The 26223-nt window shown below is 40.7% G+C and overlaps 1 long non-coding RNA gene across 1 annotated transcript; it reads left to right on the top strand.

Annotated features, from left to right (window-relative positions):
* Positions 1-1329: 1329 nt before the first annotated feature.
* LOC102723414 (uncharacterized) lies at positions 1330-13709 on the top strand. Its single transcript, XR_429949.5, has 3 exons — positions 1330-1455; positions 4470-4577; positions 13654-13709. It is a non-coding gene; the product is annotated as an uncharacterized LOC102723414 (long non-coding RNA).
* Positions 13710-26223: the final 12514 nt, after the last annotated feature.

Genomic DNA, 26223 nt, shown 5'->3' with positions numbered 1-26223 from the left:
AATGATGTGGTCTTGGCTCACTGCAACCTCCGCCTCCCAGGTTCGAGCAATTCTTCTGCCTCAACCTCCTGAGTAGCTGGGATTACAGGTACATGCCACCACACTCGGTTGATTTTTGTATTTTTAGTAGGGATGGGGTTTCACTATGTTGGCCAGGCTGGTCTTCAACTCCTGACCTCATGATCTGCCCGCCTCAGCCTCCTAAAATGCTGAGATTGCAGGTGTGAGCCACTGCACCTGGCCCTTTTTTTTTTTTTTTTGAGACAGGGACTTCCTCTGTTGCCCAGACTTGAGTGCAGTGGTATGATCATGGCTCACCACAGCTTGGACACCAGGCTGCCTCAGCTCACTGCAACCTCTGCTTCCCGGGTTCCAGTGATTCTCGTGCCTCAGCCTCTGGAGTAACTGGGAGTACAGGTGCTCACCACCATACCTGGCTAATTCTTGTATTTTTAGTAAAGATGAGGTTTCACCATGTTGGCCAGGCTGGTCTCAAACTCCTGGCCGACATGGTGATCCACCTGCCTTGGCTTCCCAAAGTGCTTCATATTGTTAGCCCTAATTCTAGTCAAATTCCATAGCGTTCTTCCTCTTTATTTTTATTTTTTTATTTTTGAGACGGAGTCTTGATCTGTCCCCCAGGCTGGAGTGCAGTGGTGTGATCTCGGATCACTGCAGCCTCCACCTCCTGGGTTCAAGCAAATCTCTGCCTCTGCCTCCTGAGTGGCTGGGATTACAGACACCTGCCACCATGCCCAGCAAATTTTTGTATTTTTAGTAGACACAGGATTTCATCATCTTGGCCGGGCTGGTCTTGAACTCCTGACCTTGTGATCCACCCACCTCGGCCTCCCAAAGTGCTGGGATTACAGGCGTGAGCCACCGCGCCTGGCCTGTATTAGATATTTTTAAGTCAGTTTCCTAAGACAATTAAATATTTCAGGTAGTTGGGACTTTTCTTTTTTTGGTTTGTTTTATTTTGCTTAATTTAACCATTTTAAATATGATTCTCTGGGAATTTTTTCTTCAAAATATAGAATATGTGTGCATTAGTTTGCTAGGCTTGCTGCAACAAAGTACCACAAACTGGGTGGCTTAGACAACAGAAATTTATTATCTCATAGATCTGGAGACTAGAAGTTCTAGATCACGTTGTTAGAGTTGGTTTCTTCGACAACTGTGAGAAACCTTATGTTCCATGCCTCTCCCCTGGCTTCTGGTGGTTTGCTGGTCATCTTTGGCATACTTTGGCTTGTAGGTGCATCACCTGGATCTCTGCCTTCATGTTCACATGGTGTTCTACCTGTGTGCATATCTGTGGCAAAATTTCCCCTTTTTATAAGGATACCAGGCATATTGGATTAGGGTTCCTCTCTACTCCAGTAGGACCTCATCTTCACTAATTACATCTGCAATAACCCTTTCCAAATAAGGTCACATTCTGAGGAACTAGAGGTTAGAGTTTCAACATACGAAATTTTCTGGGGGGTGGGTAAGGGACACGATTCAATCCATAACAATATGTTTATGAGTAAATGAGTTAGTGTGTTATTGTCTTTCTGCCACCTCAGAATCTGAGAAAACACAGTTTCTTTTTCCATTCCTTGGGCTGTAGGTGGAGAAGGAGGAGGATGATGATGGTGATTATTTTTTGGTCATGCCCCATAATGTGACCCACTTTAAAAAACAACAAACAATTGTAAGGAGGAGAACTGTCATACACCTACTGCCCAGCTTAAAAATAATTAGATCATCTTCTTTAAACATAACTGTCATCCCATCATCACACCTAAGAAGTTGACAGTTTCCCCAGTTTTTTTTTTCTCTTTTTTTTTTGAGATAGGGTCTTTCTCTGTTGCCCAGGCTGGAGTGCAGCGGCATGATAGTGGCTCATGGCAGCCTCATCTTCCCAGGCTCAAGGGATCCTCCCATATAGCTGGGACCACAGGGGTGCATCACCACATCCAATTTTTTGAATTTTTCTAGAGATGAGGTCTCCCTGTGTTGCCCCACCTAATTTTTTTGTTGTTGTTGTTCCATTCTTTTTTTTTTTTTCTCCTGTTTGTAAGGATTTAATCAAGGTCTGTATGTAGTTTGGTTACTATGTCTCTTAGGTCTCTTTTCCTTTATAGATTCCCCTCGTGATTTACTGAAGAAACGGGGTCATTTGTCCTGTAGAATTCTCAAATTTTGATTTTGCTGATATTATCCCCAGAGTGTCATTGACCATGTTCATCTGTTCCCCAAATTTCCAAAAACTGGTAGTTAAATTTAGGTGGTTGATCTGATTCAGATTACACTCTCAGTATCGCATATGCTTTGATCAGGAGGCATAATGTGTACTTGTGTGTGCGTATGTGTGTTTTTTTAGTGATGTTAGTGGTCACTGCCTGTGTCAGCATTTCACTACCAGGGTAATTTGGCAATGTCTGGAGACACACTGATTGTCACAGCTTGGGAGAGGGAATGCTATAGGTACCTTCAGGGGTAAGAGTCAGCACAGCACAGCACAGCCCCCTAACGCAAAGTATTAATAGGCCTAAAATGTCAGTAGCCCTGAGGTTGAGAAACTCTGGCCTACTTTTGTAGTTTCATCAGGTGTTTGTGAAATGGTTTTATTCTAACTGTTATTTCTTCTTTCTTTGTTAGCTGGAATTCTTTCATAAAGAGAAACTCTTTGATCAGTTAGTTACCCAAGGTACAGTTCATACAGAAAAGGCAGGATGTATGTTTGATTCTTTCCTAGTTTTCAAAATAATGAATTAGTTCCCTAGCATCTTCCAAAATTGACCAATGAACTTTGTGTGTGTTTTTTTCTTTTTTAGTATATTATGAACTTACACGTTTTAACATATTTGTGTTTCCTTTCATCGCAGTTATTTTTATTTTATTTTTATTTATTCATTTATTGTTTTCAGGCAGGGTCTTAACTCTGTCACCCAAGCTGTAGTGCAGTGGTATAATCGCTGCCCACTGCAGGCTTGACGTCCTGACCTCCAGCAATCCTCCCACCTCACCCTCTTGAGTAGCTGGGACCACAGGTACACCATCATGCCCAGCTAATTTTTGTGTTTCTGGTAGAGACGGGGTTTTGCCGTGTTCACCAGGCTGGTCTTCAAATCCTGAGCTCAAAAGTAATCCACCTGCCTCTGCCTCCCAAAGTGTTGAGATGATAGGCGTGAGCCACCGCACCTAGCAGTTATTTTTATTGGTGCTCGTTTTTTCCCTTCGTTGAATGCTGGGTGCAGTGAATGCTGGGTGCATCTTCATGTTGGGTTCTGAGTCCTTTTGACATGAGCACATTGTCTGGTGTTGTACGAGAGAGCAAAATAAGGAAACTGGTGTTCTATGCTTATCTTGTACATTTTCCCCACACTTGGAATCAGCCATTCCTCCAGGGAGTGCAGGTTCACAGTCTGGGCTCTAAGAGAATTATAAGGTCAATGTGGTCATCATCTTTTAGTATTAAGTCAGATATTCTAAATTATTATTTACTTCTTACATTTGGCCCAAGAGTTTAACCAGATATTTTGGGAAAGAGAGAAGGAATTAAATAAATAAATCTCATGGTTAGAACTGAAGTGATAACTATACTTTCACAAGGAAATATAACTTATAACCCATGCGGAATAGAAAATTATTTTTGCTCCTTTAGATTTCTGAAGGAATGAAATGAGCTGTGGGAAGAAACTTTAACTGGAGCATCTTACCAGTATTATTCATGTTTTAACTCTGCTTCAGTAGTTTTTCAGGTTTATTACAAACCTGCAGTAGCCAACTGAATTAATTATCTCTAAACAGGGATTTAGCCAGTGGACTAGGCACACTGAAGCTTTGTGAGAGGGGAAATTGATATTCACATTTTTTCCAGCTTGTTTTGAGCTCGATATATTCTTTTTTTTTTTTTTTTTTCATTGAGACAGACTCTCGCACCGTCACCTGGGCTGGTGTGCAGTGGCACGATCTCTGCTTGCGGCAACCTCTGCCTCCCAGGTTCAAGCAATTCTCCTGCCTCAGCCTCCCGAGTAGCTAGGATTACAGGCGCCCGCCACCACGCCCGGCTGATGTTTTGTATTTTTAGTAGAGACGGGGTTTCGCTTTATTGGCCAGGCTGGTCTTGAACTCCTGACCTCATGATCTGCCTGCCTCAGCCTCCCAAAGTGCTGGGATTACAGGCCTGAGCCACCATGCCCAGCCAATATATTCACATTTTTAATAGGAATAACAGTATACTAAAATCTTTTTTAGTGCATGTTTAAGATTTGAAGATGTAATTTGACTCAGTACTTTCCACTTGCATTTTTTTCTTCCACTTGCATTTCTCCACTATTAGAATAGTGCCTGCTAAGACTATTCTAATACTTTATTATAGTTAACCCCTGCGAAAAGAGCTCCCAGAGCTTACAGTGCATTTGATTGATGTCATATGGACTATTCATTATTTTCTAAATTATTTTGTTTGTATAGAGCAATCTGAAGAGGATGTAAGTCAGTTTGATTCCAAGTTTACACGTCAGACACCTGTCGACAGCCCAGATGACACAACTCTCAGTGAAAGTGCCAATCAGGTGTTTTTGGTAAGTGAAAGAATTTCCATGTAGTCATGGGAAATTTTAAGTATGAGGATGGGCTCTTCGATAAGAAAATTCAGTTTGCTTGCTTTGCAGCTCATGTAGGTAACCTGGCCCACTTTTTTTTTTAAATAAGCCATGCTCTTATAAATTATTGATACCTACAAAATTGATTTTCATAATCCAACATTTTATTTTAGCAATTAGAGTGGGAATGTACAATTCTTTGGAGAGTATGATTCCCTTTTTTGGTTGGGCCACAGACTTAAAATGATGTTTGGCTTAGCATCTCAACCAAAAATTAAGTCATAGCAGTGGGAGAGAAAAACCTCACTAACTACATGTATTTTATTTCTGAAACAGCTATAGATTTTTGGTACCTTTTTTTTTTTTTTTTTTGAGACAGGGTCTCACCTTGTAGCCCAGGCTGGGTGTAGGGTGTAGTGGTGTGATCACAGTTCACTACAGCCTTGACCTCCCAGGCTCAAGTGATCCACCCATTTCAGCCTCGTGAGTACCTGGACTACAGGTGTGTGCCCCATCCAGCTAATTTTTTATTTTTTTGTAGAGACAGAGTCCCACTATTTTACTCCTGGACTCAAGCTATCTTCCCACCTCGGCTTCCCAAAGTGCCAAAATTATAGGCATGAGCCATCATTCCTGGCCCTATTTTTGGTACTCTTAACATAAGTAGGGGATTTTTTTTTTTTTTTTGAGACTGAGTCTCACTCTGTCATCAGGCTGGGGTGCAGTGGCGCGATCTCAGCTCACTGCAACCTCTGCCTCCTGGGTTCAAGTGATTCTCCTGCCTCAGCCTCCTGAGTAGCTGGGACTACAGGTGCCTGCCACCACGCCCAGTTAATTTTTGTATTTTTAGTAGAGACAGGGCTTCACCATGTTGGCCAGGATGGTCTTGATTTCTTGACCTCATGATCCACCCGCCTTGGCCTCCCAAAGTGCTGGGATTACAGGCATGAGCCACTGCGCCCGGCCAAGTAGGGGATTTTTTAAACCTAATTGTGAATATTTGACATCAAATTATATTGGTTCATATGTAATAGTGAATTCTTGTTGTAGAAATATCCGTATAGATTTATAGCTTGTCTCCTCAGAAAAGTAAAGGTTTTAGATGTTGGCCAACAGAAATGATGGATTTATATCAGATGACCATCAATGCATACATACTATTTTGCTTAAATACCATATATGCTTGTTGATTTTATTACTGTACTTATATGTCACATGAACATCTTTCTCATTTTGTATCCTTTTTTTTCTTTTGTCGTTCCTGTATGGAATACCTCTAGGGAGAATAGAATATGGGGAAAACAATTGTTTGGGAGTGTTTTTTTCCCTCTTTTTGAGTTCACTGGATTTGTCACTAACTTAATTCTATGCTTTTCTTCCCCACACTGCTCACTATATAACACAAGTAGTGTTGTATCTTATGGGATGGGAAATAAGCTCTAAAGTTAGCATGGAGCTGGGACATGGTGGCTCAGGCCTATAACCTTGAGGTCAGGAGTTCGAGACCAGCCTGGCCCACATGGTGAAACCCCATCTCTACCAAAAATACAAAAATTAGCCGGGTGTGGTGGCATGTACCTGTGGTACCAACTACTTGGGAGGCTGAGGTAGGAGAATGACTTGAACCCGAGAGGCAGAGGTTGCAGGAGCCAAGATCGTGCCACTGCACTCCAGCCTGGGCAATAGAGTGAGTGAGACTCTGTATAAAAAAAAAATAATTAAAAAAATAAAGTTAGCATGGAATGCAAAAGTTGTGTATAGTACAGTATGGTTTCAAGTAAACAACACTGAATAGTAATAATCCTATAAATTAGTAATATAGAGCACGTAGGCAAAATATAATCTTACAGTATTAATTACATAAGAGATAAAAGATGAGTGAGTGCATGCATGTTTTTAAATTCAAGTTTGATGTGTGCATGATCAAAGTTACGGCATCTCTGTTAGTAAAATCTTAGGTTCACTCAGGGAAGTGGGCATGAATCACTTTAATTTTGGCTTTTTTTTTCTCTTTCATGTACTACTGATGTGGAATTTATACCTTTGATTTAACATAGAGACCTTTTCATCAATTGAACATTGCAGAATTTCAACTTATGTGACAGTTTCCCCCCACAAAATAGAAGCATTTTATTTAGCTACCAAGAAATCCTAAGTTGTGGTGGTAAATGTGAGCTATTGACGCTTTCGTTGCCAGTTAAAAGTATTGTTGAGCTTTTCATAATTACTTAAATTGGCTATAACTGATGAACAGAGCAACTCATTTGTTAGGTTGTAGCCAGAATTCTGTACATAAAGTGGGTCTCTTGAAACATTAGTAAAAACAAAAATAGGCCAGGTGCAGTGGCTCATACCTGTAATCCCAGCACTTTGGGAGGCTGAAGTGGGTGGATCACAAGGTCAGGAGTTCTAGAACAGCCTGGCCAATATGGTGAAACCCCATCTCTACTAAAAATACAAATATTAGCCAAGTGCGGTGGCACACGCCTGTAATTCCATCTACTCGGGAGGCTGAGGCAGGAGAATCACTTGAAACCAGGAGGTGGCAGTTGCAGTGAGCCAAGATTGTGCCAGTGCATTCCAGCCTGGGCAACAGAGCAAGGCTCTATCTCAAAAAAAAAAAAAATTCCGCATACATAAGAAGAGAATATGCATTAAAAAAATCAGCAGAGCCTCACATTCCAGGATTTTCTACACAAGAAACCATTCCTAAAATATGTGCTTGGAATTACTAGGGTTTCTCTTGCAAACATTTTAATAACACCTCATTTGTTTTTTTTATTATAATATTTATTTAAGCAAAATTTCTTTTTTTTATTTTATTATTTTATTATTATTACACTTTAAGTTGTAGGGTACATGTGCACAATGTGCAGGTTAGTTACATATGTATACATGTGCCATGCTGGTGTGCTGCACCCATTAACTCGTCATTTAGCATTAGGTATATCTCCTAATGCTATCCCTCCCCCCTCCCCACACCCCGCAACAGTCCCCAGAGTGTGATGTTCCCCTTCCTGTGTCCATGTGTTCTCATTGTTCAATTCCCACCTATGAGTGAGAACATGCGGTAACACCTCATTCTTTAGGGGTGTGGTTATATGTGTCATGTTATTAGATCTTTACAGCAACTCTCCTGGGTAAAGCGGTTATTACTAGGTCATTTTATAGAAGGAAAAATAACCAGTACTTTTTTTTGCTTTACTTCAGTAGCTATTGCCTCCTTCAATTTGACATTTCAATCCTGGCACATAGTGGGGGCTCAACAAATATTTGCTGGAGGAATGCCATTTAAAATACAGTGATTGGATAGGAGAATATTTGAGGGCATTAACAATTTTTAAAAGCCAAAAAAAAATTACAATTGGACTTATGAGATTTTGATTTTTTTGTGTATTTTCTTTTAAAAAATAAGCTTCTCTAAGCTGGGCTTGGTGGCTCATGCCTGTAATCCCAGCACTTTGGGAGGCTGAGGCAGGTGGATCACCTGAGGTCAGGAGTTTGAGACCAGCCTGGCCAACATGGTGAAAACCCGTCTCTACTAAAAATACAAAAATTAGCTGGCCGTGGTGGCACACACCTGTAATCCCAGCTACTAGGGAGGCTGAGGCAGGAGAATCGCTTGAACCCGGGAGGCAGATGTTGCAGTGAGCCAAGATCACACCACTGTACTCCAGCCTGGGTGACAGAGCAAGACTCTGTCTCAAAAATAAATAAATAAAGTATATAAATAAATAAATAAGCTTCTGTTTTGGCTTCCTCCAATGTAGTCTCTTTGAGTAGGAAGAAATTGTTATGATTCAAACTAGTAAATTCTTTTTTTTTTTTTTTTTTGAGATGGAGTCTTGCTCTTATTGCCCAGGCTGGAGTGCAGTGGCGTGATCTTGGCTCACTGCAGCCGGCTCACTTGAACCGGGTTCAAGTGATTCTCCTGCCTCAGCCTCCCAAGTAGGTGGGATTACAGGTGCCTGCCATCACGCCTGGCTAATTTTTGTAGTTTTAGTACAGATGGGGTTTCACCATCTTGGCCAGGCTGGTCTTGAACTCCTGGTCTTGATCTGCTGACCTATATCCGCCCGCCTCGGCCTCCCAAAGTGCTGGGATTACAGGTGTGAGCCATTGCGCCCGGCCGACAGGTAAATTCTTATATCAAAAAACTGAGTTAGACTTGGTCCCTGGAGCTGTTTTCCATCCCTAAAAAGATGATGTCAAGCTATCATGTATAATAAATAACAACTCAATTGACCACATATTTTCCTTTAAGCCTAATGATGAAATAATATTATAATGAAATACTTAGAAGTTTTAAGGGAAAAAATCCTTTAAGTCATTAAATTAAAATTGAAACCAAAACAATAACTTCACTGTTTTAGGATAAAATTGGCATATGAAAGGTTTGATAGTGAACGACAGTAAGATTAACCTACTACAGCATTTGCCTTTAGCTTTTACTGAGTAATACTTGGAGCTATATATTTATAGCATTTGCTATAAATGTGCAAATGAAGACATTATTTATTGTATTACTGCTGAGATTAATATTGTCTTTTTCAGATTTCTAAAACATTACAGCAAATGCGCACATGAGGGCGCTCTAATCAGCTAGATGTGGAGAGGGTAGGCATTTGTTGACTGTTAAGTCAAAACTAGTTCTATACTTTTACAGATGGAAAAATCAAGGTCCACCAAAGAGGTTATGATTCTACACGAGTTATTCTCTAGAGGAAACAAATTGGGTATTAGAATTTTGAAAAGATTAAACAGAAATCCCTGTCAGTGAATTTATGCTGGAGAATTTTGACTTTTATCCTAGCAACTCCTTATTGAAAATCTTTACCCATGCCATGATATAATTTATCTTCAATCTTAAATGGGTTTGGTAATAGTGTTTATAAGATGTAGGAGAGTTAATTAGAATATTTATTTTTATGAACTTTTGCTTTATAAAATTAACAAATGTTAATTGTGCTTCATTTATACTTTTTTTTTTTTTTTTGAGACGGAGTCTTACTCTGTCACCCAGGCTGGAGTGCAGTGGCGTGATCTCAGCTCACTGCAACCTCTGCCTCCCAGGTTCAAGCGATTCTCCTGCCTCAGCCTCCCAAGTAGCTGGGACCACAGGCACGTGCCACCACGCCTGGCTAATTTTGGTACTTTTAGTAGAGACGGGGTTTCACCATGTTGGCCAGGGTGGTCTCGAACTCCTGACCTCAAGTGATCTGCCCGCCTTGGCCTCCCAAAGTGCTAGGATTACAGGTGTGAGCCACCAACACCTGGCCCATTTATACTTAAGGCTGATTCTCAACTGATTTGGGTAAGATCCTTAGTCTTTCCCCATCTCTGACGTAATTCCTAGTTTGTCCTTTGGCTTTCCTGTGTATATAAAGCTACCAGGCTGCTTGCAGATTTTTCGGGGAATAAGTCCCATAAACACTCACAAAGATTTTATTAGGGAGAAGCTATGATGCGAATATAGAATGTAGATTTTTTAAATTTCAAAATCAGTATGGGCCGGGCGCGGTGGCTCACGCCTGTAATCCCAGCACCTTGGGAGGTCGAGGCGGGCGGATCACGAGGTCAGCAGAGCGAGACCATCCTGGTTAACACGGTGAAACCCCGTCTCTACTAAAAATACAAAAAATTAGTGGGCGCAGTGGCAGGCGCCTGTAGTCCCAGCTACTCGGGAGGCTGAGGCAGGAGAATGGCGTGAACGCGGGAGGCGGAGCTTGCAGTGAGCGGAGATCGCGCCACTGCACTCCAGCCTGGGCGACAGAGCGAAGACTCCATCTCAAAAAAAAAAAATCAGTATGTAGAGCTGGGCATGGTGGTGTGTGCCTATTAGCCCAGCCACTGGGGAGGCTGAGGCAGGAGAAGCCCTTGAGCCCAAGAGTTCAAGACTAGCCTGGGCAACACAGCGAGACCCTCATCTCGAAAAATAAATAAATAAATAAATAAAGTATTGCAATATTTATTATATAGGCAAATTTTTTTCAACTTAAGTGCTACCCTCATCAGGGGAAGATTTGTTTGATTAGATCCCCACACAGGCTGGCCGCTTCCTCATTTCTACTTTTTCTTTTCTTTTTGAGATGGAGTTTTGCTCTTGTTGCCCAGGCTGGAGTGCAATGGCGCAATCTTGGCTCACTGCAACCTCCGCCTCCCGGGTTCAAGCGATTCTCCTGCCTCAGCCTCCCGAGTAGCTGGGATTACAGGCACCTGCCACCACACCCGGCTAATGTTTGTATTTTTAGTAGAGATGGGGTTTCACCATGTTGGCCAGATTGGTCTCAAACTCTTCAGTTCAAGCGATCTACCTGCCTCGGCCTCACAAAGTGCTGGAATTACAGGTGTGAGCCACTGCGCCCGGCCTCATTTCTACGTTTTCAAAGAAGTCAATTTTCTTTAAAAAATAAACTCTTTTGGCCACGCGGCGGCTCATTCCTGTAACCCTAGCACTTTGAGACTCAGAGGCAGACGGATCGCTTGAACTCAGGAGTTCAAGACCAGCCTGGCCAACACGGTGAAACCCTGTCTCTACAAAAAATTAGCTGGATGCAGCGGCACGTGCCTGTAGTCCCAGCTACTCAGGAGGCTGAGGCAAGAGAGTCACTTGAGTCCAGGAGGCAGAAGTTGCAGTGAACTGAGATCACGCCATTGCACTCCAGCCTGGCTGATGGGAGTGAAACCTTGTCTCAAATAAATAAATAAATAAACTCTTATTTTAAAAAAAAAAAAGCAAATCATGAAACAAAACAAAACCCAGGGCTCTGAATGAAAAAGATCTCTCCTTTAGGGGGCTAGGTGATGGAAAGGAAAATAGGTCATGAATTTCATGTTCTCATTTGTCTTCGTTAATGACTTGTATGTATATATATTTCCATTGAAGACATAGATATGCATTTGATCACCTACACTTGTTTGTATTTTGAGTCATAAATTAAGGCATTTCCTGTCCAGAAAGCACCTGACAATCTTATGATAAAAAACATGGAATTTTAAAATCACAAATGCAAATAACAAGCCAGGCACAGTGGCTCACGCCTGTAATCTTAGCTCTTTGGGAGACCAAGGTGGGTAGATTGTTTGAGCTCAAGAGTTTGAGACCAGCCTGGGTAACATGGAGAAACCCTGTCTTTACAAAAAATAAAAAATTAGTGGGGCACGGTGGCATGTGCCTGTAGTCCCAGATACTCAGGAGGCTAAGGTGGGAGGAGTGCTTGAGCCCAGGAGGTCGAGGCTGCTGTGAGCTGTGGTGGCAACACTGCACTCCAGCCTGGGTGACAGAGTGAGACCCTATCTCAAAAAAAAAAAGGAGTGCAAATAACAGATGACCTTACAAACATCAAAAGTTATGTCTTTATAATAAGTTTTGTCTACATTTAATGAAATATATTGGACAAGGAAAAAATGTAGCAGTATGCATATGGCTTTATCTTGGCCCTGCCCACTACTGTGCCCTCATTTCTTTTCCTTCCCACTGAGTCCTTCCACACTACCACACCACAGCAAACCTGACAAGCTTCTGCCTGAAATAGCACCATTGCACTTCTCTTCCCTTTGCCTGAAACATTCTTTTTTTTCTTTTTTTTCTTTCTTTTTTTTTTTTTTTTATGAGATGGAGCCTCACTCTCTCGCCAGGCTGGAGTGCAGTGGCACGATCTCAGCTCACTGCAACCTCCACCTCCCTGGTTCAAGCGATTCTCCTGCCTCAGCCTCCCGAGTAGCTGGGATTACAGGTATGCACCACCATGCCCGGCTAATTTTGTATTTTTAGTAGAGACGGGGTTTCTCCATGTTGGTCAGGCTAGTCTCGAACTCCCGACCTCAGGTGATCCGCCCGCCTCGGCCTCTCAAAGTGCTGGGATTACAGGCGTGAGCCCCTGTGCCTGGCCACCACAATCAATTTTAGAATATTTTCATTTCTCTCAAAAAAAAAATACCATACCTATGAGCACTCACTCCCCATTTTCTCCATCCCTCAGTCCTAGGCAACCACTAATTTACTTTCTTTTAGGATAGGATTTGCCTATTTGGACATTTCATATAAATGGAACCATACAATTTGTGATCTTTTGTGACTGGCTTTTTTCAAGTAACCTAATGTTTTCAAGGTTCATTCATGTTATAGCATGTGTCAGTACTTATTTCCTTTTTTTTTATGGCTCAATAATATTCTGTTGTAGGAATATAACACATTTCATTTATCTGTTTATCACTTTTTTTTTTTTTTTTTTTGAGATGGAGTCTCAGTCTGTCACTCAGGCTGGAGTACGGTGGTGTGATCTTGGCTCACTGCGGCCTCCGCCTCCTGGATTCAAGCCATTCACCTGCCTCAGCCTCCCAAGTAGCTGGGATTACAGGCACGTATACCATGTCCCGCTGATTTTTGTATTTTCAGTAGAGATCGGATTTCACTCTGTTGGCCAGGCTGGTCTCGAACTCCTGACCTCAAGCAATCCTCCCGCCTTGGCCTCCCAAAGTGTTGGGAGCCACCACACCCAGCTGTCTCCACTTTTTGACTATTATGAATAATGCTGCTATGAACATTCATGTGTAAGTTTTTGTGTGGACATATGTTTTCCTTTCCCTTGGGAATATGATGAAGCCTGGCATTGCCAGGTCATATGATAACTCTATGTTTAAGCTTTGGAGGAACTGCCAGACTATTTCCAAAGCAGTTCCAACTTCATTGCAAAGCATTTTACATTCCCTCCAGCAACATATGAGTGTTTCAATTTTTCCACATTTTCTCCAACACTTGTTATTATGTGTCTGTTTATTATAGCCATTCTTGTGAGTGTGAAGTGGTATCTTAACATGGTTTGGATTTGCACTTCCCTGATGGCTAATGATGTTTCTATGGTTTGAATGTTGGAGTCCTCCAAAATTCATGTTATAACCTAAGACCTAATGTGACAATGTTAAGAAGTGAGGCCTTCAAGGTGGTGATTAGGTCATGAGGGCTCTGCCCTCGTGAATGAAATTAATGCCCTTATAAAAAGGCTTCACATAACATTTCTTCTTCTTTTTTCCTTTCTTCTCCTGCCATGTGAAGATGCCACTGCGAGAACGGGAACAATGGAACAGGCCCTCACCAAATGCCAAATGTGCTATCACCTTGATTTTGGTTTTCCCAGCCTCCGGAACTGTGAGGAATAAATTTTTTTACTTATAAATTACTTAGTCTCAGGTATTTTGTTACAGCAGCACAAACAGACTAAGACAGAAATTGAGTGTATTTTCTTGTGCTTATTGGCCATTTATTTTCTTTTTTTTATTTTTATTTATTTATTTATTTTTAGGTGGGGTTTTGCTCTGTTGCCCAGGCTGGAGTGCAGTGGTGCAATCTTAGCTCATTGCAACCTCTGCCTCCCGGGTTCGAGTGATTCTTGTGCCTCATCTGCCTGAGTACCTGGGACTACAGGCATGCGCCACAACGCCTGGCTGATTTTTATATTTTTAGTAGAGATGGGTTTTCGCCATGTTGGCCAGACTGGTCTTGAACTTCTGGCCTCAAGTGATCCACCTGCCTTGGCCTCCCAAAGTGTTGGGATTATAGGCATAAGCCACCACCTGGCCCTTATTGGCCATTTGTATGTCTTCTTTGGAGAAATATCTGTTCAGATCTTTTGTCCATTTTAAAATTGGGTTATATCCTTTTTATTATCAAGTTGTAAGAGTTCTTTATGTATTCTAGATCCAAGTCCATTGTCAGATACTGTAGTCTCCCGTATGCTCTCTGCAGTTTCAGTTACCTGCGGGCAGCTGCAATCCCAAATATTACAGTATTTTGAGACAGAGAAAACTATTCATGTAACTTATGTTAAAGTATATTCTAGCCAGGCACAGTGGCTCACACCTGTAATCCCAGCACTTTGGGAGGCCGAGGTGGGTGGATCACAAGGTCAGGAATTGGAGACCAGCCTGGCCAATATGGTGAAACTCTGCCTCTACTAAAGATACAAAAATTAGCCGGGCGTGGTGGCAGGTGCCTGTAGGCCCAGCTACTCGGGAGGCTGAGGCAGGAGAATCGCTTGAACCTGGGAGGTGGAAGTTGCAGTGAGCCGAGATGGCGCCATGGCACTCCAGCCTGGGTGACAGAGCAAGACTCCATCTCAAAAACAAAAAGTATATTCTAATTGTTCTCTTTTATTATTAGTTATTGTTGTTATTCTATTACAGTGCCTAATTTATAAATTAAACTTCATCATAGGTATGTATGTATGTATAGGAAAAAAACATAGTACATATAGAGTTTGGTACTATCTGCAGTTTCAGGTATACACTGGAGGTCTTGGAACATATTTTGTTACATATATATCTATATATTTATAAATATATATTTATATATAGCTATATATTTATGTATCTATATATCTATAAATATATGTTTATATATCTATATTAATCTATATCTATATATGAATATATAGGTAATAGATAAATATATACATATATATATATATTTTTTTTTTTTTTTGAGATAAGGTCTCGGTCTATCGCCCAGGCTGGGATACATTAATGTTATCTTGGCTCACTGCAGCCTCAACCTCCTGGGCTCACGTGATTCTCCCACCTCAACCTCCCAAGTAGCTGGGACCACAGGCACATGTCACCACATCTGGGTAATTTTATTTATTTATTGTAGAGATAAGGTATCCCTATGTTGCCCAGGTTAGTCTTGAGCTCCTGGGCTCAAGTGATCCTCCCACCTCAGCTTTCCAAAGTTCTGGGATTACAGGCATGAGCCACTGTGTCTGGCTACATATTTTCCACAAATAAAGTGATCCTACTTTGTACATAATTTGCAAGTATTTTCTCCCATTCTGTGGGTTGTCTTTCACTTTTTTTTTCTGGAGTCCTCCAAAATTCATGTTATAACCTAAGACCTAATGTGATGATGTTAAGAAGTGAGGCTTTCAAGGTGGTGATTAGGTCATGAGTGCTCTGCCCTCGTGAATGAAATTAATGTGCTTATAAAAAGGCTTCACATAGCATTTCTTCTCCTTTTTTTGCCTCAGCCTCCTGAGTAGCTGTGATTACAGACGTGTACTACCATGCATGGCTAACTTTTGTATTTTTAGTAGAGACAGGGTTTCACCATGTTGGCCAGGCTGGTCTCGAACTCCTAACCTCAGGTGATCGGCCCGCCTCGGTCTCACAAAGTGCGGGGATTGCGGGCGTGAGCCACCATGCCCGGCACATGCATCAGTTTTTATGCTTCCTTGCTTGGACTGATTAACCAGTCAACTACTGGTTCCAATAAAGTTGGATGAGGTGGCTTATACTCTACTTATTTGCCGCCCCCGCTTCTTCCTTTTTTTTGAGACAGGGCCTTTGACGCGCTGGCTGGAGTGCCGTGGTGTCATCTTGGCTCACTGCAGCCTCAACTTCCTGGGCTCAAGCAGTCTTCCCACCTCAGCCTCTAAGTAGCTGGAACTACAGATGTGTGCCCCTATGCCTGGCTAATTTTTGTATTTTTGTCGAGACGGGGTCTCCCCATGTTGCCCAGGCTGGTCTCCAACTCCTGGGCTCAAGAGATCCGCCCACCTTGGCCTCCCAAAGCCCTGGGATTGCAGACATGAGCCACTCTGCCTGGCAACTTGTAACAGTTCTTTGTATGTTCTTGATACAAGTCAGTTGTCAGATACAGCGGTAGTACATAATTAAACATAATTATATAGAACTATATTTTATATAAGCGCAGCATTATATAAAACAGCAAAAATTTGGAAATAACCAAATGTCCAACAATAGGTAGTTAGCTAAGTAAATTGTGAAACATCCATGTAACGAAAGGTATACAACTATAAAAAATGATCTAGACCTATTTATACTGACATTGACAGATGTCTAACATAAATTACATGAAAATAGGAAGTGACAGAGAAGAGAGTATGGTATAATCTCATTTACATTAAAGTAATCAAAAAAACCAGCTTATATAATAGATACAGGCTGGGCAGGATGGCTCACGCCTGTAATCCCAGCACTTTGGGAGGTCAGGGCAGGAGGATCACTTAAGCCTAGGAGTTCAAGATCAGGCTGGGCAACATACCCAGACCCCATATCTACAAAAAGTTTAAAAATTAGCCAAGTGAGCTACGATCACGCCACTGCACTCCAGGCTTGGGGACAGAGCAAGACTGTCTCTAATAAAATAAAACAAAATAAAATAAAATAGGCTGGGCATGGCAGCTCATGCTGTAAAAGTGCTGTAATCCCGGCACTTTGGGAGGCTGGGGCAGGTGGATCACCTGAGGTCAGGAGTTCAAGACCAGCCTGGCCAACATGGTGAAACCTCGTCTGTACTAAAAATACAAAAATTAGCTAGGCATGGTGGTGCACATCTGTAATCCCAGCTACTCGGGAGGCTGAGGCAGAAGAATTGCGTGAACCTGGGAGGTGGAGGTCACAGTGAGCTGAGACTGCACCATTGCACTCCAGCCTGGGTGACAGAGTGAAACTCTGTCTCAAAAATTAAAATAAAATAAAGTAAAATAAAATATAATAGATATAGCTACATATGTGTGAAAAGGACAATAACATTAAATTATGAGTGTTTTCTGTCCTCCCTTGGGGGACCTTTCTAAATAAATAGGAGTATACTCTAAAATAATGATTAAAGGTTTAGTATAGTAAATGACTACATAAAAAAAGCAGAAAGCAAAAACAAGTAAATGGCTACAATGTCACTAGGCAATAGGAATTTTTCAGCTCTACTATTATCTTATGGGATCACAGTTGTGTATGCAGTCCATCGTTAACCAAAACATCATCATGCAGCACAGGACTGTATAGGTATGTATAACATGGACAGAAACAGACATCTCAGAAAAAGCAAGATACAAAATTGTATGTACATTATGATTAAAACAATACTAAACACTAATTTGATAAAAGAGTAACAGCAAATAATTAACTGTGTTTGGTGATGAGATCATTAGTGAAATTTTCTCCCTTTATCTTCCAATCTCTTAGTAATCTTGTATATTGTTTTTTGTAATATTTAAATAAGTTTTACAAGAGTGCTGTTGGTGGCTGGTAGTTGATATTCCTGTTTGTCTTTGTTTATGAAGCTCCCTCCTTCTCTGTGGATACCACGCTTCTTCTTACCCTGTATATCTATAACCAACTGTGAGAGAGTTTTTAATGTTTTGACAAAAATTTTTAAAGGTCCAACAGAACAATCACAATTTTTTCCACTGATTACTGTGATCCCTTTGAATAGTCTTAGCTTGCATGGTCATTTTTACAGTCCCATACTACTATGCAAACTGAGAAATGACTACATATAACATAGATTTACTCTCTATCTTAGTAATTTTAATCTTTATCATTGAGTGCTTAAAGGAACGTCTACAATGCACCATAAACCATACAGCAGAATGTTAGAATTTTCACTATAAAACCAAACACGTCATATATGCACACCCATGAAGTGTACAAACAATACATACTAAGTTATCTCTTAACACTATTTTTCCTTTTTCTGGTGTTTTGTTGTTGTTTGTTTGTTTTTGAGACAGAGTCTCGCTCTGTCGCCCAGGCTGGAGTGCAGTGGCACGATCTTGGCTCACTGCAACCTCCGCCTCCTGGGTTCAAGTGATTCTCCTGCTTCAGTCTCCCCAAGTAGCTGGGACTACAGGTGCATGCCACCATGCCCAGCTAATTTTTATTGTATTTTTAGTAGAGACGAGGTTTCACCATGTTGGCCAGGGTGGTCTCAAACTCTTGACCTCAGGTGATCTGCCTATCTCAGCCTCCCAAAGTGCTCAGATTACAGGGGTGAGCCACTATGCCCGGCCAAATCTTTAATTTCTAAACTAATTTGGAAAGACAGAAAAATTCGTATCTTCCTATGTATGTAATCAAAAAATAGTAGTCAAAATATTCATTGCATTTTCACTGTCACTCAATCTTTTGCCAATCATAATCTATTTTTTTTTAGTTTTTATTTTTAGAGACGGGGTCTCATTCCTGTCGCCCAGTCTGGAATGCAGTGGCACAATCATGGCTCACTGCAGCCTCAAATTTCTGGACTCAAGAAATCCTCCAGTCTAAGCTTCCCAAGGAGCTGAGATTACAAATGCGAGCCACTGAGCCCAACTATAATCCGATTTTTTATTTGTATATCTAATTATTATATAATTTTATATATAATTGCACAATATATACTTTATGAAAAGTAACGGTTTCTAAGATGAAGAAAATCTAACCCCTTCCATGAGTTCCAGTATCTTATTATAACTACACTAAGCTACAATAATAGCTTAATATTAAACATTAATGTTTCTTTGACCTAAGGAAGCTGATTTTTAAAAATAATAAATATTAATTTTAAACACAGTATTAAAGTATTAATAATCAAACAAAGCCACGCAGTGAAACGACATTTGAATTTTGGGAAATTTTCTTTTTTTTTCCTTTTCTTTTTTTTTTGAGACAGAGTCTCACTCTGTCGCTCAGGCTAGAGTGCAGTGAGGAAATCTTGGCTCATTGCAACCTCCACCTCCCAGATTCAAGCAATTCTCCTGCCTTAGCCTCCCAGGTAGCTGGGATTACAGGTGCCTGCCATCACGCCCAGCTAATTTTTGTATTTTTAGTAGACAGGGTTTCACCATGTTGGCCAGGCTGGTCTCGAACTCCTGACTTCAAGTGATCCGCCCGACTCCACCTCCCAAAGTGCTGGGATTACAGGTTGAGCCACCACACCTGGTAAGAATGTTGGGAAAATTTTTTCATACTAACACATTGGCATATCAGTTATCAGTTGGATAAAAGTTTTCTTCCATATAGGAAGTTATAAAATGCCACTGCCCAGAGACAAAATCTTCTGAAGAGTTATTAGATGAATGGCTGACAACATCGAATAAAAATGCACAAAGAACATTGCCATAATAAACTTTTGATATCCAAAGGGCTACATTTGAGGGGTTATATACCTAAAAGAAACCTCTTTCGGCCAATATTTACATCCCCCTTAAACTCACCTACTACTCTCTCTCTATATATGCCCATTAAGATAGGATATCTTTTGAGAACCTGCCTCCAGAAATAAAGTCTTTAAAAAGTTTGGGCCAGGCACGTGGTTCACGCCTGTAATCCCAGCACTTTGGGAGGCCAAGGCAGGAGGATCTCTTGAGGCCAAGAGTTTGAGAACAGCTTGGGCAACACAGCAAGACCTCATCTCTGCAAAAAATAATAAAAATAATTTTTAAAAGTTTAAAAATATAGCATTTCATTTTAAAAAGTGCCTAGAAAAGCAGAAGATTTTAAAACATATAAATGTCACTTGCATCACTAAATACCCCCTTAACCTTCAAACAGTCTCTACTCCAATAACACACATAACAAATAAACCCTAGGCCCTTACAGCAATTGGGTTAAGAAAGGTTAAATTTCAGAATGCATAAAGATAGGAGGCATTTCTCATTCTTATGGTAGAGACTACATGCTGTCGTCTGTGTACATGCTTACAATAATAAAGGCCAACCTTTTATTAATGTTTGCTAATAAATATCCTCCTGATTTTCCATTCCAGCTAAGATTTGATAATATAATTGACTCTTCTGTGTTTTCATCACAAGCAGCACTGTTACAGATATCATTTCCTCTTAATTTATCCACAGGCTGTGTGAATAATTTAGAAAATTATTTTCGAAGGACTCTATCTAGGGAAGTCTTTTGGGTTTTAGAGTAGGGTTCTTTCTGGTTTTCTGCAGCTGTGGGGTCACTCCATCAGAATTTCATGGTTATATCCTTTGCGCAATCTGTAACATTGTTTAAGTTCAAAACTACATACATTATTTCATCAAAATTAAAAACTTTTGGGCATTAAAAGATCCTATCAAGACCATGAAAGACAATCTACAGATATTAATATATCTGTAACCCACAGAAGTATTTGGGAGAAAATATTTGTAAATCATATATCTGATGTGAGAATAATATCCAGAATGTATAAAGAACTACAGAACTACAACTCAACAACAAAAAAGCGCACATCTCAATTCAAAAATGGGCAAAGGATTGAACAGACATTTCTCCAAAAAAGACATACAAATGACCAATAGCACATAAAAAAATGCTCATTAGCACTAGCCATTAGGAAGCTAAAAATCAAAATGACAATACTATGTCACACCCATTAGGATGGTTATTAATTGAAAGAAAACAGAAAATAACAAGTATTGGGTAGATATGGAGAAAATGGAAGGAGCACTTGTGCATTGCTGGTAGAAATATAAAATGGTACAGAAGCCGTGGAAACCAGGTTAGCTGTTCCTTAAAAGGTTAAATATAGAATTACCATATGACCCAGCAATTCCATTCCTAGGTTTATATCCAAAAGAAGTGAAAGCAGGACTCAGATAGATATTTGCACACCAGTGTTCACAGCAACATTATTCACAATAGCCAAAAGGTGGAAACAACCCAAATATGTCCCATCAACAGATGGATGTATAAACAAGATGTAGTATATACAAATTATTCAGTCAAAAAAAGAAATTAAATTCTGCTATGTACTACAACATGGATAAACCTTGAAAACATTATCCTAAGTGAAATAAGAAAGGTCAAATATTGTTTGATTCTATTTCCATGAAGTGTCTAGAATAGGCAAATTCATAAAAAGAGAAAGTAGAATAGAGGTTACCAGGGGCTGGGGAAGAAAAGGGATAGAGAATTTCTGTTTGGGATGATGAACAAGTTCTGGAAATGGACAGTGGTGATGGTTATACAATATTGTGAATGTACTTCATGCCACTAATTGTACACTTTTTAAAATAGTTCAAATGGTAAATGGTATGTTTTATATATATATATATATAACCACCATAAAAATAAAGTAAATTGCCAAAGCCAGGAGAAGGTGGGGGAGAGCTATGTACATACCCGAGTTTGTGAAGATCAGACAAAGATTCACATGAACTATTTTGAAAGTCTTTTACAATAATCCTAGTAAGACATAGCTGAAAACATAATACTGATCATGACTAAGCCATAATCCTATTACAGTGGAAATCATAATTTAGTACAATTTTTTGCTTTCTCAAAGATATGAGAAAAGCTGCATACATGTATTTATATACCAGAAAAATATACCTTTTAGTAAGGGTTTTACAGCAATGCAAATGTCAAAGTAGCACTGGCCTAAATTGAGGCAAATAGTTTTTTAACTAGTAGGCGATAACTGTGAAGGACTTAGTAAATGTGAAAACTTTGAAAAGCTGAAAAATCCACCTCTAGTATTTTGACTTCGCTGACATAGGGAAATGCACAAACATCTACTACATTCCAGATTTAGGGACTCAGGATACTAAGATAAACAGAAAAAGTCTACCCTTTCAAAAGTTTAGCTTATCTCTGCCAGGATCACAAGAGGCACTAGTGAAGAACAGACATTTTGGGGGCATTTTCAAATTCTCAAACTGACACAAATACATGAGATGCGCAAAAGTCTTCTAAATTACAGTGTAACCTACAATTGTCTATCTTCTAATAAATTCTTCTAACACATAGAGAACTTCTGTGTAGTGCAGTTTTCTGAGACCTGTAATTATAAACTTCAGTTACATTGCTATAAACTTCCAAATTGGGAGTTTGAAATATGAGCCACATGTTACTTAACGTTCAGAAGATGTATAAATGAGAGCAAAAGGTTATGGCTTAACAGAAAACTAAATAAGAAATAACTATTGATTTTTAAATAGCAACATATCACAATCATAGACACACCAATGACTGTAACCATATGGTTCTCTCAATCATCAAGCATATGCTAAATTTGTACTTAAAACGGTCCAATGTGACTTTAAAAAAAGGTTACTCTTCAAGCAGCTTTCAATCTAGTTGGGAGAGTAAATTACTACACATAAAACGTGTTATTTATGTACATATATATGTAAAAATACTCAAATACAAAGGATCCAAATGTAAGAATTCAAAGGAGATAAGTTAGTTCAGGAAAGCTCCAAAGAAGGTAAGATTTAGGCAAAGTCCAGAAGGATAGACAGAATTGAATGGAAATGAACCCTTCATAATCTAACTTCATCTTGCCTTTCCAACACATTGTACAATACAAAATTATTAGAATAGATAAAAGCAGTCTATGGCCATACCAACCTGAACATGCCGATCTCATCTGATCTCAGAATAAAAACAAATTAGAAAAGAAGCTGAGTGCAGTGGCTCACGCCTGTAATCCCAACACTATGGGAGGTTGCGGTGGGTGGATCTCTTGAGCTCAGGAGTTCAAGACCAGCCGGGGCAACATAGCAAAACCCCGTCTCTACAAAAAAACACAAAAATTAGCAGGGCATAGTGGTGCACACCTGTAGTCCTAGCTGCTAGGGAAGCTGAAATAGGAGGATGGCTTGACCCTGGGGAGTTGAGGCTGCAGTGAGCAGTAAATGTGCCACTGCACTCCAGCCTGGGTGGCATAAAAAAGTCGTTCCAGATAAGAGAAATCACAGAAATATGGAATAAGAAGAGCATACTAATTAGCCCACTTAATGCTTATTGTAGAGAAGTGGTTAAATATTTTACATAGGAATACACATGTCAAATTATATAAATCATATGGGAGAAAAAACGCTCCAAAAATTACATGGAATTTTGACATGACTTTCCAATGTACCCTATTCATACCCACTACTCATTTGCTATTTGAGAGAAATGTCTCAGAACCAGTCAAACCAAGGCTCACCTTCAAAACCAGGTGGGCACCCAAATTATAACAAGAATTAGAAATTTGTGTTTGTCCTTGCATATAAGGCTGTGTTTCATTTTTCCTTCATATTTACTACTGATTGCTTCATGAATTCAGATAATTTCAGAGCCAGGAGGCATTATTTATAACCCAAATTTTAAATGTTTATATTCCTGAAACATTTGAATATTTGCATAAATGTCATGAGACAAACAAAATTTACTCTGTAGAAAGCACAATTTACCAGATTATTACTGCTAGTTTTATTCTGTCAGCTCTCTCCTTTAAGGAGAAAGCACAGCACTAGGTAGTCCCATTTATTACATCAACATTTTAATAAGGCCAGGCACTGTAGCCCATACCTGTAATCCCAGCACTTTGAGAGGTTAAGGCCAGAAGATTGCCTGAGTTCAGGAGTTCAAGACCAGCCTGGGAAACAACAGTGAGATTCCCATTACTACAACAAAATAAAAAAATTAGCCAGGTGTGGTCCGCACATCTGGAGTCCCAGATACTTGGGAGGCTGAGATGGAAGGATTGCATGAGCGCAGGAAGTAGAGGCTGCAGTGAGCCATGATCGCAGAAATGCACTCCAGCTAGGGTGACAGAGGGAGACCCTATCTCAAAAAAAAAAAAAAAAAAAAAAAAGAGAAAGAAAGATCTGTATCTGTCCCTTGGACTATTTGCCTCCTACTCCTCCAATTCGTTCTTTATATTTCCCATAGAATAATCTTTGAAATGCACCTCTAGTCATTTTACTCAGGTGCTCTTCTTCAGTGGAAGGTACGTATGCCCTATGGTTTGAAGTCAGTCATTTCAGCATGGCAAGCCCTAGTAGTTTCTATGATTTGGTCCCTGTCTGAACACTGTGTACCCTTGCAACTGTTGCTTTCTAGATCTTGAAATGTTCTGCTTCTCCACAGGTTCCCCCTCTTATCTCTCCTATTACTTACATAAACTGCACAAATCTTACTATATAGCTTGACTGAATTTTTAGGGATGCATCCAAGGAATTATCCTGCAAAATTAAGATACAGAACATTTCCAGCACCCCAGTAGGCTCTCTTCTGTTCTCTCCCAGTCAACACTGACCCTCAGAGGTCACCACTATTCTGTCACCATAAATTAGTTTTGCCTATTTTGGAACCTCATATATACAGTAATGCAGTATTTACTTTTTTCGTGTGTATGTGTGCATGGTGAACTCATTTTTAAGACCAAATTTTATGCATCTTCTCTGTGAAGCAAAACCCTGTCTGTTCCACACAGACTTAGAGTGGCAGAGGAGTACCTTAACCTATCAAAGGCTATTTTGAGCAAAAGCCACTTTGTGTCATTGAAGCTGTAGAACTGAGCCACAAGAGGGAACTGTTAAAGTCCCAGGGTCAAGGACCAGGTACCTACGTTATCCCCACAGCACAGAAGCACAGCCTGAGTCTCTTCTTTGGCTGAGCCAAGGGCGTGCTGGAGAGGCCTGAGAGAAGGAGCGGCCCTTGTGACCAGTGCCCTTTTGGTTCACAAGGAACGTCTCCTCTTGTTGAAGTGACTTGGCTGAGCTTGCTACTTCTGCTTTCAGAGCCCAATATCAGGATCAAGACTTCAATTATCCCCAATTTACAGATGATGAAACCATATTGGGCAGGAAAGAAAGTCACCCCAGGAGAGCGAGTTGGACCCGGGCACTGGCTGAGGACAAAGGGGAATGATAATTTGGGATGTAGCTTGTTAAGGGGTCTCACAAGTGTTCTTGTGATCCAGGTGGCGAGAGGATAGAGCAGAAAGGTTGCCAGGGAGACGAGGGTAGGGTGCACTGCGAGAGTGGGAGAAATTAAAGAGAACACGCAACAAAGCCTTGGGACACTGGGAGGGGGATGGACCACCCAGTTTTGTGCTATGGGAGAAGAGAGCAAGAAAAGGAATCTGTGTTAAATCCCGACAGCCTGCAGGAGAAGCAAATGCCCTTCATTTTCTTCATCAGCAGCGAGACTGGCATCCCTGTAGCTTTGAGAAACCATGCTAGTGTAGATGCCAGCTCCCTCCAGCGGGCCTGACTGGGAGAACTTGGGCTGGGGTTCTGGTCTGGGGCTCCTAGGCCTGATGGGAAGAGAGTTCAGCCCAGCTTTCCTGTACTTCAGCTCGTATGCAGACGATGGCCATTGTTGAAATGAGAGACTCAAAGGAAGCTGGAACCTGAACTTTTTTGTTGTCTCGTGGACACCTGTGTTCAGTTTCGGGTTCTACCTCTTGCTGTCTGTGTGTTCTTAGGTGACTCACTTAAACCTTTCTGAGTCTCATTGTCTTCATTTATAAAATAAAAGACGTAACATTGATGTCAGATATTGTCCTGAGCATTAAATGGGAGAATAAGCAAGCCTCTTCTGCATTCCCCTGGCTTCCAGTGGGTGGAGGCCAGAGAAGCTGCTAAACATCCTGCCAGGTGCAGGACAGCCCCCATCGCAAAGAATTGTCTGGCCCCTGATGTCAGTAATGCAGTATTGAGGATCCTTGGTGTGGGGGAAACAGAATAAACTCAGAAGCTTGGCAGATCTCAATTCAAACCCCGGTTGTACGGCCTCCAGCAGGCCTTGGTCAGGGAATAGTATCTAGCTAAAGTTCATTGACTTCATTTTGTTTTCATTGAATTTATGTTTTGCTGGCTTTCCATTTATGAGAGTGATACAAATTTCCTTTAAACATGAAGTTGTAAATATAAACAGGTAGGCCATTCACAGGAATGTCTAAATTATGTCACAGGAAAGGTGGCACTCTCATATGGCAATAATTATGACAGGGGCCGGCAAATGACCTGCGTGACCCGGAGTGACCTGAGCACTGACTCCCAAATGCCCTCCATAGGATGTTCTGCATCCCCGAGACCCTTTCCTGGGTCCTCCTGGGCCCTACCACCCC

The sequence above is a fragment of the Homo sapiens genome, chromosome 17, assembly GCF_000001405.40.
Source record: "Homo sapiens chromosome 17, GRCh38.p14 Primary Assembly".
Lineage (NCBI taxonomy): Eukaryota > Metazoa > Chordata > Mammalia > Primates > Hominidae > Homo > Homo sapiens.
The sequence above is the reverse complement of the archived record's forward strand: the minus strand, read 5'-3'. Positions and strand labels throughout refer to the sequence as shown.